General features: G+C 37.3%; 1 protein-coding gene across 50 annotated transcripts in view; it reads right to left on the bottom strand.

Annotated features, from left to right (window-relative positions):
- The window catches only part of WNK1 (WNK lysine deficient protein kinase 1), a 158,874-nt gene that overhangs the window by 68,136 nt on the left and 77,048 nt on the right, over positions 1 to 13,690 (bottom strand). For all 50 annotated transcript variants that reach the window (NM_213655.5, XM_011520997.4, XM_011521000.3 and 47 more), the window contains exon 4: positions 13,157 to 13,314. In NM_213655.5, the coding sequence (NP_998820.3) occupies positions 13,157 to 13,314 (158 nt within the window). The remainder of the gene's footprint in view (positions 1 to 13,156; positions 13,315 to 13,690) is intronic.

The following is a 13,690-nucleotide window of genomic DNA, read 5'->3' as shown; positions in this document are numbered from 1 at the left end:
AAAAGCTCTTTGGGGTCCTCAATAACTTTAAAGAGTGTAAAGGATTACTGATACCATGCTGAACTAATCACTCAAGCCTGGGCCAGGCGTGGTCGCTCACACCTGTAATCCCAGCACTTTGGGAGGCCAAGGTGGGTGGATCACTTGACCTCAGGAGTTCCAGAACAGCCTGACTAACACGGTAAAACCCCCGTTTTAACTAAAAATACAAAAATTAGTTGGGCATGGTGGCGGGTGCCTGTAATCCCAGCTACCTGGGAGGCTGAGGCAGGAGAATTGCTTGAATCCAGGAGGCAGAGGTTGCAGTGAGCTGGGATCATGCCACTACATTCCAACCTGGGCGACAGCGAGAGACTCCGTCTCCAAAAATAAATAAATAAATAAATAAATAAAATCACTTGAGTCTGTTAGCTGTCTTGGTCCCTTCTCAAAAATTCTCAGATGACAGAATCTCAAACCTTTACCACCAAGGCCTCTGCAATATTATACAATGTTGCCAAGTTCTTATGTTCAATTACAGTTTCTCTTCCTTCTTATGTAACCTCCTGAAGATCAAGAAAACAGTTGCTGAGCATCTCCCTCTTCCAATAATGCATATAAGCCCCTTCCCTCAAGAAATTCAAAGGAACAAGTTTTACAAATTGACAATGATGGGTCTTGACAAAAAAGGACTCCTAACATTAGAAAAACTGTCTTGAAACATTTTACGGACTACACCAAGGGAAATTACAATTTGGTCTGCCCTATGAAGTCTCAGGGAAGAAAGAACAAAGTGAGAGTAGTAATTATAGGGTAAAAATTAAGGGGAAATACCTAAAAAAATAAAATAAAATAAAATACAGACCTAGCCCCATAATGGAAAGAGTTAAACTAGTTGTTCAGAAATTACAACTGAGATTTGAGAACCTACAGAAGAGCCTTTCTAGTCCTGGGATAGCCTTTCTACCTATTATTGTTTTCTGCTTTATTTGCACCAAATAGTTTTTCCTATTCTATTAGGTTCATGCAAAAGTAATTGTGTTTTTTGCCATTAATATAAAATATATTGCTTTTATAGGTACATCAGTTTCTACTTGCTGCTATTCAACTTCATTTTAGTAGGATAATTCTGAAGGTCACCTCAAATTTCACTTCTCTTTCACAGAGTAAATACAACTCTCCCAAATATACATAATGTCTGATTTTGACTATATTTGACATTACTTTGAATCATTTATTCTTCAAAATATTAATGAGTGCCTACGGTGTGCTGTGCACAATGAATACAAACAACGATATAATAAACCTAGCTCTAGGACAATACCTTTTAAGACACTCTATATTTCCTCCTTCATGTATGCTATAGTCTGAATGTTTGTGTCCCCCTAAAATTTTTATGTTGAAATCTAACGTCCAATGAGACAGTATTAAGAGGTGAAGGTCTTTGGGAGGTGATCAGGTCATGAGAGCAGATCAGGTCATGAGGGCAGAACCGTGAAATGGATTACTGCCCTTATAATATGAGTCCGGAGGGAGCTTTTTGACTCTTTCACCATGTGAAAATGACACGAGAAAGTCCGGTCTATGAGGAACAGAACCTCACTAGATACCAAATCTGATGGCACCTGATCTTGGGCTTTCCAGCCTTCAGAACTGTGAGAAATAAATGGTTGTTGTTTATATGCCACCTAGTTTATGGCATTTTTGATATAGCAGCCCAAATGGACTAAAACATTGTTCTCAATCTCTCTCCAGATTAAGAGGCAGCTATAGAGTCAAGCAGTTTAACATTGAGAAAAAGAGGAAGAAACTAAAGAACTAAAGGGAAATAAAACCTGCTGAATAGAACAAAATGTAGTATATATATGCAATAGAATATTATTTAACTATTAAAAAGTACTGATACATGCTACCACATGGATGTACCTTGCAAACATTTTGCTAAGTGAAAGAAGCCAGACACAAAATGCCACTTATTGTATAATTCCATTTACATGAAATACCTAGAATAGGAAAATCAAATCCAGAGACAGAAAGCAGATTAGTGGTCGCTAGGGGATGGGTTGGAGAGGAGAATGGGAAATGACTGCTAACTGGTATGGGGCTTCATTTTGGGGATGATGGGAAGGTTCTGGAATTAGTAGTGATAACTGCATTAACATTGTGGATATACTAAAAACCAGTGAACAGTATACTTAAAAATGGTTAAAATGGTTAATTTTATGATATATGATTTTTGTCTCAGTTTAATAAAAAACAAAAGCTGCTGAACAACTGAAAACAGGTTAAACACTATACTGAGAATACAGAAACAGTGACACCAGTCTTTCCAGGTTCTGTTAAACTTACTATCAAAGACATCTTTCATTTAAGAAGATTTTCTTCTCAACTGAGCTTTTGAGTTTGCATTTGGCAAATAAAAATGTTAAAGTTTTAGTTCTACTCTTAACAGAGAGAAAAGACTGCCTACACATTTTCTGACCTGTTAAGTAGCTACTTGTTTGCACCAAGATTCTCATGTCTTTACAAATACAGAGGCTAACGCATTCTTATAGAAGAACATCACCACTACTTTCGTAGATCAGTAATTTCTTACAGGACTCTACAGGGGAACATGTTTTACAAAGTTCTGGTGACATATGTTTAACACAGGAGTAAGTAAATTTTCCTGTTAAGGGCCTAATAGTAAATATTGTAGGCTGTATGTATCATACAGTCTGTTGCAATTATTCAACTCTGCCATTATAGTGTGAAAACAGCCATAAATAATATGGAAGCAAGTGAGTGTGGCTGTATGCCAGAAAAACTTATTTATGGACACTGAAATTTGAATTTCATGTAGTTTTCGTATCATACAAAATACTCTTCTTTTGACATTTTCCCCAAACATTAAAAAATATAAAAACCAGCCAGTCATGGTACTCGTAAATGTAATCCCAGCATTTTGGGAGGCTAAAGTAGGAGGATCACTTGAGGCCAGGAGTTTGAGACCAGCATGGGCAACATAGTGAGACCCCACCTCTACAAAAAAAAAAAAAAAAAAAAAGCTGGACATGGTGGCACATGTCTGTAGTCCTAGCGATTCAGAAGGCTGAGGCAAGAGGATCACTTGAGCCCAGAAGTTCAAGGCTACAGAGAGCTATGATTGTACCACTGCACTCAAGCCTCGGTGACAGAGTGAGACTTTCTCTCAAAAAATTAAAAACAAAACCAAAAACCATACTTATGTCATGGGCTGTACAAAAATGGGCACCAGGCTGAATTTGGCCAAGAAGCATAGTTTGCTACTCCATTTAGAATACGACAGAATGGGCCAGGTGTGGTGGCTCACACCTGTAATCCCAGCACTTTGGGGGCCGAGGTGGGCGGATCACTTGAGGTCAGGAGTTCGAGAGCAGCATGGCCAACATGGTGAAACTCCATCTCTACTTAAAAAAAAAAAAAAAAAAAAAATTAGCCAGGCATGGTGGTGGGAGCCTGCAATCCCAGCTACTCAGGAAGCTTGAGGCAGGAAAATCACTTGAACCTGGGAGGCGGAGGTTGCAGTGAGACAAGACTGAACCATGCACTCCTGCCTGAAAGACAGAGTAAGACTCTGTCTCAAAAAAAGTAATGATTGGTAAGTTAGTAAATAAAATATATAAAACATTTCATATACAAATTATAAATTTTATAGTCCCCAAATCTAAAGTTATATATTTAACCTCACAATCAGGTTTGATATTGTTTGATCTTAAGTATATATATGTACATGAGCATTTATTTTCATAAATGTTAAGTGGAAAAAAACAAATGAGGTTAGCTCAAATCTAATTCACAAACAAAATCTCTCTAATCCATCCACTTTGGCCTTCTCTCTTACAACTCCTTATTTCAGACTATTAGTCATTTCCCTTAGATTACTTCAATACCTTTTTAACTGAGTTTTCAACATTTAGTCTTTCCTCAGAAATCCATTCTCCACTCTGCAGTCAGAAATAATCTTTCTAAAATTTAAGTCTGTAGGTGTTGACATACATGATAGCTACCCACTTTTAAAACAGTCCCCTCAGTGCTCTACATTAAAGTCTAAGCTTTCCTTTTGTCCCTTATCCCTTGCCTTGTCCTTTTCCTACTTCCAAACTTGACAAGATACTCAAAATCATGCATCTTCATATATAACACTATCTTAGTCTTTCCCTAATTCTTTAACACCATATCCCTAACCTGTCCAAACTTGATTAGGTACCACTCTTACATGCTTTCATTAAGTACCTATCCCTAAAATAAGTGTTTTCTATTGTATTGTAACTGTTTGCTTTATTTGTTTGTTCCCCTTCCCTTGGTAAGTTCTTTAGAGACAGGGACTGTGTTTGACATAACAATAATATTCAATATCTAGGATCTAGAAAACAGTCTGGAACATAGAAGAGACTTGAATATTTGCTGAATGAACCCATGAATTGTTATGGGGTTGAACTGTGTCCCTCAAAAAGATATGTTGTGGTTCCAATCTCTAGTACCTTACAATATGAATTTTTTTGGAAAAAAAATTAGTTAAGTAATTAGTTAAGATGAAGTCATCCAGGAGCAGTGTGGGTCCTTAACCCAATGACTGCTGTCCTTTTAAGAACAGAAGACACAGGCTGGCACAGTGGCTCACACCTGTAATCCCAGCACTTTGGAAGGCCAAAGCAGGCAGACCGCTTGATCTGAGGAGTTCTAGACCAGCCTGGGCAACATGACAAAACCTCGTCTCTACAAAAAATACAAAAAAATTAGCCAGCATGGTGGTGTGTGTCCATGGTCCCAGATACTCAGGAGGCTGAGGCGGGAGAATCACTTGAGCCCAGGAGATGGAAACTGCAGTGAGCCGAGATTGTGCCACTGCACTCCAGTCTGGGTGACAGAGTGAGATTCTGTCTCAAAATAATAATAATAATAATAACAACAAGGATTGGCAAGAATATGAAGAGATCACAATTCTCTTACACTGATGGTGGGAATGTAATATGGTACAGCTATTGGAAAATAGGCTGGCAGTTCTTCAAATGGTTAAACATAGGATTAGCATATACACATGGTAATTTCACTTCTAGGTATATATCTAAAGGAAGTAAAAACAGATATTCAAACAAAAACTTGTACATGAATATTCTTCGTAGCAGCTCTATTCACAACAGCCAATGGTAGGAACAGTCCAAATGTCTACCAATCGATAAATGGCTAAACAATTGTGTTTATACATACACACACACACACACACACACACACACACACTGGAATATTACTCAGACTTAAAGAGGAATGAAGCATGAACATTTGCTACAACATGGACGAACCTTGAGAACACTATACAAAGTGAAAGAAGCTAGTAATAAAAGACCACATATTAAATGACTCTATTTAGATGAAATGTCCAGAATAGAAAAACCTATAGTGACATAAACAGATTAGGGGTTGCACAGGAGTGGGGGGAATGTTTGTATAGAAAAGTGATTGCTACAGGGTGCAGAATATCTTTATCATGTGATAAAATTATTCTAAAGTTGACTGTGGTGATGGCTGCACATACCTGTTGTTAAAGCAAACTAAATATGGCCCGAGAAGGACTTTGTACTTCTAATTTGAGTCTGTGTGGACTAATTGCAACCTAACTTAACAGGTAGACAAGACTGAAAACCTAACTTAGGAGTATGCCCGTAACAACTGCTGAGTCTTGGCCAATCCCAACAGCCAAATTTCTATCTTTTTTCTTTTCTTTTCTTTTTTTTTTTTTTTTTTTTAGACAGGGTCTCACTCTGTCACCCAGGCAGGAGTGCAATGGCGTGATCTCGGCTCACTGCAACCTCTGCCTCCCGGGTTCAAGTGACTCTCCTGCCTCAGCCTCCCTAGTAGCTGGGATTACAGGCGCCCGCCACCGCGCATGGCTAATTTTTGTATTTTTAGTAGAGACGGGGTTTCACCATGTCGGCCAGGCTGGTCTCAAACTCCTGGCCTCAGGTAATCTGCCTGCCTCAGCCTCCCAAAGTGCTGGAATTACAGGCGTGAGCCACTGCGCCCAGCCCTCACGGCTGTATTTCAACCACTCATACATTGCTGAGTGTTCAAATAAGGCAAACAGCAAGCTGTAACCAATCCAGTTGTTTCTGTACCTCACATCTGGTTTCTGTATGTCACATCCCTTTTTCTTATCTATAAATCTGTTCTGACCATGAGGCATCCCTGGAGTCTCTCTGAATCTGCTGTGATTCTGGGGACTGCTCAATTCACGAATCGTTCATTGCTCAATTAAACGCCTTTAAATTTAATTTGGCTGAAGTTTTTCTTTTAACACTGTGAAGATGCTAAAACCAGTGAATTATACACTTTAGATGGGTAGGTATATAATATATTCAGTAACACTGATAGAAAAAAACCTAAATGTACATTTTTAGTATGCACATACAAAAAAAAAATATTTCTGATTAATACTCTGACTTGGCACGTTATGCCATGCAGAGAATCAATCAAGTCCCCAAAGGTCTTCTAATATTTAATATGATAAGCACAAAATATTCTATAAACAAACTTCAAAAATTCACTGAAGGATAGAAAGCAGACTTTAAGGACTACTGAAAGCCTATGACTTGATTATGTAATCAGAATCATACTTTTAAGTTTTAATATCTAGATATTCATCTCTACACAGAATAATTTGCCATCTATTTACTTTTTTATTGAAAAGTTGGAGGCATTTTTAAAAATAAAATTCCTTGAATATATCACAATCACAGATTTTGTAACTTCTGTGCAAATATGAGCCTCATTACACTTAAGAAAGCCAGTTAGTGCTACTATCCTCCCAATCTTTTGTAGCAGAAAGCCTAAGTCAAACCCTTCTGAAACATCAAGAATCTATTGAGATAGAAGACATTTCAGAGTCAATCTAGTTATATGTCAAATACAACAAATATATTTCTCAACTTTTTCAAATGTACTTTCTTATATAATTTCAACAGATTTGTTTTTCGCAACCTTAGTAGGCCTGGCAGTTATGACTACCATAATCATATGAGGAAATTAAGGCTCAGGAGTCACATAACAGAAACACCTGTTACTGTTTAGCAGTATCACTCATATAGCATGTTGATCTACAAATCTACTTTGATCCACTACAACTTTTGTTATTTTTCCCCTCAGTTTTGAATCTACTGGCTTATATTTCCTCCCTAATTACTTCATTACATGTTTTAATAAAAAAGTCAGATTGTATTAGTACCTAGTCATACATTTCGGGCAAAAAGAAATGATTGAATTTGCTGTGCTGTAACAATAAACCTAGTTCAGCTTCTCACCCTTTATCTCCCATCTATTCTAGACACAAACCTTATCACTCTAATAGAGTTATCAATTTTTTTTTTTTTTTAGACCAAGTCTTGCTGTCACCCAGGCTGGAGTGCAATGGCGCTATCTCAGCTCACTGCAATTTCTGTCTCCTGGGTTCAAGTGATTCTCCTACCTCAGCCTCCCAAGTAGCTGCAACTACAGGCACATGCCATCATGCCCAGCTAATTTTTGTATTTTTAGTAGAGACTGGGGTTTCACCATGTTGGCCAGGCTGGTCTCAAACTCCTGACCTCAAGTGATCCCCCAGTCTTGGCCTCCCAAAGTTCTGGGATTACAGGCGTGAGCTATCACGCCCAGCCAACTTACTGACTTCTATCAACATTTTTTTTTTTTTAACAAAACTGAATGTAAACTCCAGGTGAGGCACAACTTTTTGACTTGGTATATCCCCAATACCTAGTATAGTGCTTGGTCACAGTTTATAATTAATAAATATTCACAAATACACAGATGAAACTTATTCAGTAGAAAATACACCAAGTAAAATTAACTTTTCTCCTATGAAACCTAACTCATTTATGTCAATAACTTCTATTCTATTCTTCAAACCCTGATACACAGAATTCAGAATATAGAAAACTGAGGACTACTTTAGCAATCTAAGCTATTGTGGGTTTTTTTGTTGTTTTTTTAAGACAGGCTTTCACTCTATTGTCCAGGCTCGAGTGCAATGGCACAATCTAGGCTCACTGCAACCTCCACCTCCCCGGCTCAGGCGATCCTTCTACCTCAGCCTCCCAGTGGCTGGGACTACAGGCATGCATCACCACAGCCAACTATGCACCACCACGGCCAACTAATTTTTGTATTTTTTGTAGAGATAATGTTTCATCATGTTGCCCAGGCTAGTCTTGAACTCCTGAGCTCAAGCAATCTGCCTACCTCGGCTTCCCAAAGTGCTGGGATTACAGGCGTGAGCCTACAGGCCCAGCCTATTATTGGTTATTCACAAGAAAGAAGTATGTAATAGGTAAAAATTTGCCCTTTTCCACTTGCATACACATAGACACGCGTACAAACAATATATTCATTGTTTACATAATAGTGTTTATCAATACTAAAAAGGAAGATTCTGGATGCCTGGTGCTGCTTCACAATTATTATTTCCTAATCAGTTCAAAGTTTCATAGATGTTATTTTAAGCCTTTATCATCCTTAAAGGCCATCTTTCATTCTACACACCCCCCCAAGAAGATGACAACTCATATTTCATAGACAATAACCACAGCCTACTATCAGTACCAGTACTATCTACTGTGCTAAGCAATCTGTAAGAGGGTAATAGTATCTCTTTTACAGAGAACAAAATAATTGAAGTACAGAGAAATTAAGTGAATTGCTCAAGATCGTATGGCAATAACTAGGGCAAGGATGTGAACCCAAGACTTTGCTTCCAAAACCCATCTTGCTTCCCTTACCTCAGGAGAAAACCTTCCCTATCAAGACTTACCATTATACCATGTCACAAGCCCATTGAATCCTGGATATTACTCTACCCTATCCACCACCACCCACCATGATTTCTACTTCTCTCTCTCTTCCTCTTGCTCCTTCCAAAAGCCTATAAACAGATAAAGTCTCTTTCACCATTAAAATACAACAATATAATAGCAGTAAAAACACATATCAGCAGTCAGAAGTTTGCCTCTTAATTACCAACCGGAAACTCTCTGCTCTGAGATGAGACAGGATTTGGGAGCAGGAGAAACTAAGTAGCAATTGATTTGTCCTTGGATCAAAAATTGATTTGTCCAAGACAACAGCTTCACTCTATTTGATCAATTTGCCTTTCCTTCCATTGTACTACGGTGTTTGGCATCTCAGCATTCATGTAAATCCTATTCCTGCTTCTTAGAATGGCCTCTCACCATTCTTCTACCTTCTCTTTTTGACAGTTCATACAACAGCTCTTTTTGTGAAATCTTCCCTAATCCATAGCAGGGTTATCCATTGTTCCTCCACTCTCCTTAGTGCTTGTCTCCATTACAATACTCACCATAATGTAATTATAATTCTTTGTTTACATATTAATCTTCTATATTAGAGGTAGTTTTCTGAAGACAGGGAATATGATTATTCACCTTTACTTAGTATCAAGCTCTGGGCATGGGACATAGCAGGGATTCAGAAAATGTTGCATTTACTGGCACTGAGATTTATTTTGTATTTAGGATAGTGCTACAGATAAGGATGAAATTATACAGATGTACTAGATTAAAATATTTTAAGGAATATAAAGCAATAAAAATAATAAGCAAGTACATTAATTGAATTTATGAATTTATAAGTAGAATAACCACTAATAAACAAAATTTTATCATTCATATCAATTGAGAAGAATCAGCTCAGAAAAGGCAAAGATCATTATACAGTGAAACCAATCAGATAAAATGTCATGGAGGAAGACCGTTAAGTATATGGATTGACTGGATAGCAGAAAAGCTTATAGTGGAGGTACAGTATTATATAACATTTACAAATGGATAGGAATACAGGAAAGGATGTGGCATATGTGCGAGATAATGAAGAGAACTGATTTAACTAAAATAGAGTGCTTGGATGAAGATGAAGAATAGCAAAGATTAAGAATTTGTACTTGCTCTGATATCAGCAAACTGGTATCTTAAGTTCCTTATACCAAGAAAGGATAGCAAGAAAGCTCAACAAGTTTAAGTGAAATAAAAAAATAAATTCACAATGTAAATTACTTCTGGAATATAATGCAAGGTGTGCAGTAAGGAAGATGTGAAATCAGAGTTGTGGCAATGGGAATGAAGAAGGCTTGCATCTAAGAGGTATTCTGAAGCAAGAACCTTATAAACTGGAAGTAGTGGAAGCAGCGAGTAAAAAACAAGAAATCAAATATACCTCTTAAGTTTTCTACAATTTTAAACAAAATAAAGGAGGAAATTACCCAATAAACAGTCGACCCTATGCTCAAAGGAAAAAAAAAAAGAGAGAATGTAAATTACAACGCATCAGGGGAAGAAAGGGGAATAATAAGAGACATGAACTGGGAATGATGATACAGAACTCTGAAAGGCAAAGCAGATGAGCTTTCTAAGGGCATAAATGTAGAATAATGATTAGGGTACTTATCAGAATCATCTGAAGGCATAAAAAAATTTCTCCTGCCCCCATTCAGCCCAAATTGAGAGTCAGTGCTTCAGGGATTACAATTATATTGTGTATTAGAATCTGGGTGAGTATTAAGAAGAGGTTAATAAATTTAACAGTAAGGCCTCAGGCCAGACACTTGTAGACATACACCTAATAATAATAACTGACAAAATACCATCCCAATTACAAAGCCAGAAGTAACTTGAGAGTTACACACTTTCTCCATAAACAATAGCTGTCATTTTTACTGGGTATGAAACCTCAAACTTCATATGAAATTAAACTAATTGTCCAAAGTAGCTCCATATCCATCAACAACAGAATCACATACAAATATACAACAAGGATATTGAAGGAATATTCACAGCAATAAATAATTATAATTAATCTTTGACTCCAAAGATTTCTCCCAAGCCTTTATGAAGAGGTAAAATTTGGTCTACCTAAAGCAAAATGTTTCCTATCAGTTTTTAATAATAAACATTTCTGGCTCATGCCTGTAATTCCAGCACTTTGGGAGGCAGAGGTGGGCAGATCACAAGGTCAGGAGATCGAGACCATCCTGGCTAACACAGTGAAACCCCATCTCTACTAAAAATACAAAAAATTAGCCAGGTGTGGTGGCGGGCACCTGTAGTCCCAGCTACTTGGGAGGCTGAGGCAGGAGAATAGCGTGAACCCAGGAGGCAGAGCTTGCAGTGAGCCGAGATGGCGCCACTGCACTCCAGCCTGGGCGACAGAGCGAGACGCCGTCTCAAAAAATAAATAAATAAATAAAAAATTAAAAATAAACATTTCCATTCTGTTCAGCTATCAAAATCTAAATAAGCAATTGATAATTACATCTTCTATATCAAAATTCAATTAAATTACATCACTAAAAATGAAATAATGAGATACTATGAGCTTCTCGGTGCAATATAACATATACAGCACCACATATTAAGTATCCTTGCAAAAAATGTTTAGCCTAAATTTTATCAAGACTTTTGAACAGTGGTTCTCAAACTTTTGTCTCAGGACCCCTTTATACTCTTAAAATTAACATTATTGGGGACCTCAGAGGGATTTTGTCTATGTGTGTTACATCTATTAATATTTACCGTGGCAGATGGTAAACCTGAGAAAGTTTAAAAATGTTAATTCATTAAAAATTATAACTCATTATGTTACAAATATATATTTAAAATTAAAAAGTCAGTATTTTCCAAAACAAGAAAAATTTAGTGATAAGACTGGTATTGTTTTACATTTTTGTAATCTTTTTAAATATATGGTTTAATGGAAGACAAAGGAATTTTTTTTTTTTTTTGAGACAGAGTCTTACTCTGTCACCCAGGCTGGAGTGCAGTGGCACAATCTTGGCTCACTGCAACCTCCATCTCCCGGGTTCCAGAGATTCTCGGGCCTCAGCCTCCAAAGTAGCTAGGATTACAGGGGTGCACCACCACGCCTGGCTAATTTTTGTATTTTTAGTAGAGATGGGGTTTCACCATGTTGGCCAGTCTAGTCTCATACTCCTGACCTCAAGGGATCCACCTGCCTCGGCCTCCCAAAGTGCTGAGATTACAGGCATAAGCCACCACGCCCGGCCCTACAAATGAATTCTTTTATATGCTTCTGTATGTACTCTGCTGCAATATCATATGTGCAGTATCATATAGCCTCTGGAAAACAACAACGTACACTCTTGGGTGAATGCGAGTAAAAAAGACAAAATTATTTTTACATTGTTAACCTACCCCAACCATTTTAAGGTAAACTTCTCCTTACAGAAATATAGAAGAATAAACTAGTTAAATGACACCACGAGGAAAATTCAGAATGTGGAACATTCCTCGAAATAATCTAATTTTCTCAATAAATCTCTGACATGCATGCAGAAAAAGAAAGTAAAAGCAATAGTTCTAGATTAAGAACTACAACAATAAAATATATTTTGTGGACCTTGATGGAGCCTATTTTGAACACTGTCAACGGACATTTTTGAAACAATGGAGAGAATATCTGAACAGGTTCAGGGTATTGGATGATGCAGAAATGATTGTTAATTTTTTCAGGCATAATATGGTTATGTAAGAAAATGTATTTTAGAGTAGCATAATGAAGCATGTAGTGATAAAGTAAAATGAATCATAACAACTACCTTTCAGGTTTCAATTAGACAGCTGTAGAAAATATCTCTGTCAGCAGACATGAACTACCATGAGTAATTTAAACTACAATAAGGTATTTATTTATGCCTTAAATATGGTAGGTACTAATATATAAGATTTAATAAATCAACTCAAGTCATTCAGAGAAAAGTCAGTGAACAAATTAATTTGACAAAGCATCTTGAATTAAAAACATTACTTTTAACTCTGACCTATGTGGTGGGAGACAACAGGAGTTTAGCTGAATTAATAGGGGGTTAAAAAGTAGGTAATGAGGGTGTGTTTTTAAACATAATAAAGATTTAAATGAATGCAAGGTGGGTACAGGATAAACTAGTGGTTCTTTGATCTTTATCTTTCACTGTATCATGAGCAATAGCCTTACACATACCTCAACACCACCCCCCCAACCCCAACAGTTCACTCAGTATGCCTTCCACTATTGTCCTCTTTTACATGGTTTGATGTCATCCACCTTGGGATTCTTTGTTAGATATGCCCCAAGTTCAACAATCAGTTAGGGGAAGACTTACACTGGTCACGCGACGGTAGATCTGTGCAGCATTTTGGCACTCCGAGTAAGGATATTCAGATGTAGCCATCTCAAGCATGCACATCCCAAAAGCATAAACGTCAACGGATTCATCATATTTCTCCTCATACATCTCAGGGGCCATGAACTCTGGGGTACCTTAAATTAAAAGAACGATTCAGACTCAATGCGAGCAGAAGCTTCAGACGTTACTCACCGGGGTGAGAAGCAGAGGGGTTGACCTGTGAGAGAGAAGAAATTGGAATGGGGAGAAAAAAGGAAAGGGGGAGAAAAGAGGAAGGAAATCTTCTCAGTCAGTCTGTTCCATCAAATATCTCATAAAAGATCTTCCACTGCAAGGCCTTTATATGAAACTGGAATAAGGTCAAGGATCTATTTATTGATTTACTGTGTAAAATGAATTTCTTTATACAATATGCCAAAATAAAACCTTGGCTAAGATAATAAACTAATATAATTCATATTGAAAACAAATAGAAGGAAAAGGAAAGACACTATGCAAGGAACAAAGCAA

This window comes from Homo sapiens, chromosome 12 (genome assembly GCF_000001405.40).
Source record: "Homo sapiens chromosome 12, GRCh38.p14 Primary Assembly".
Taxonomy (NCBI): Eukaryota; Metazoa; Chordata; class Mammalia; order Primates; family Hominidae; genus Homo; species Homo sapiens.
This window is presented reverse-complemented; position numbering and strand designations above follow the sequence as displayed.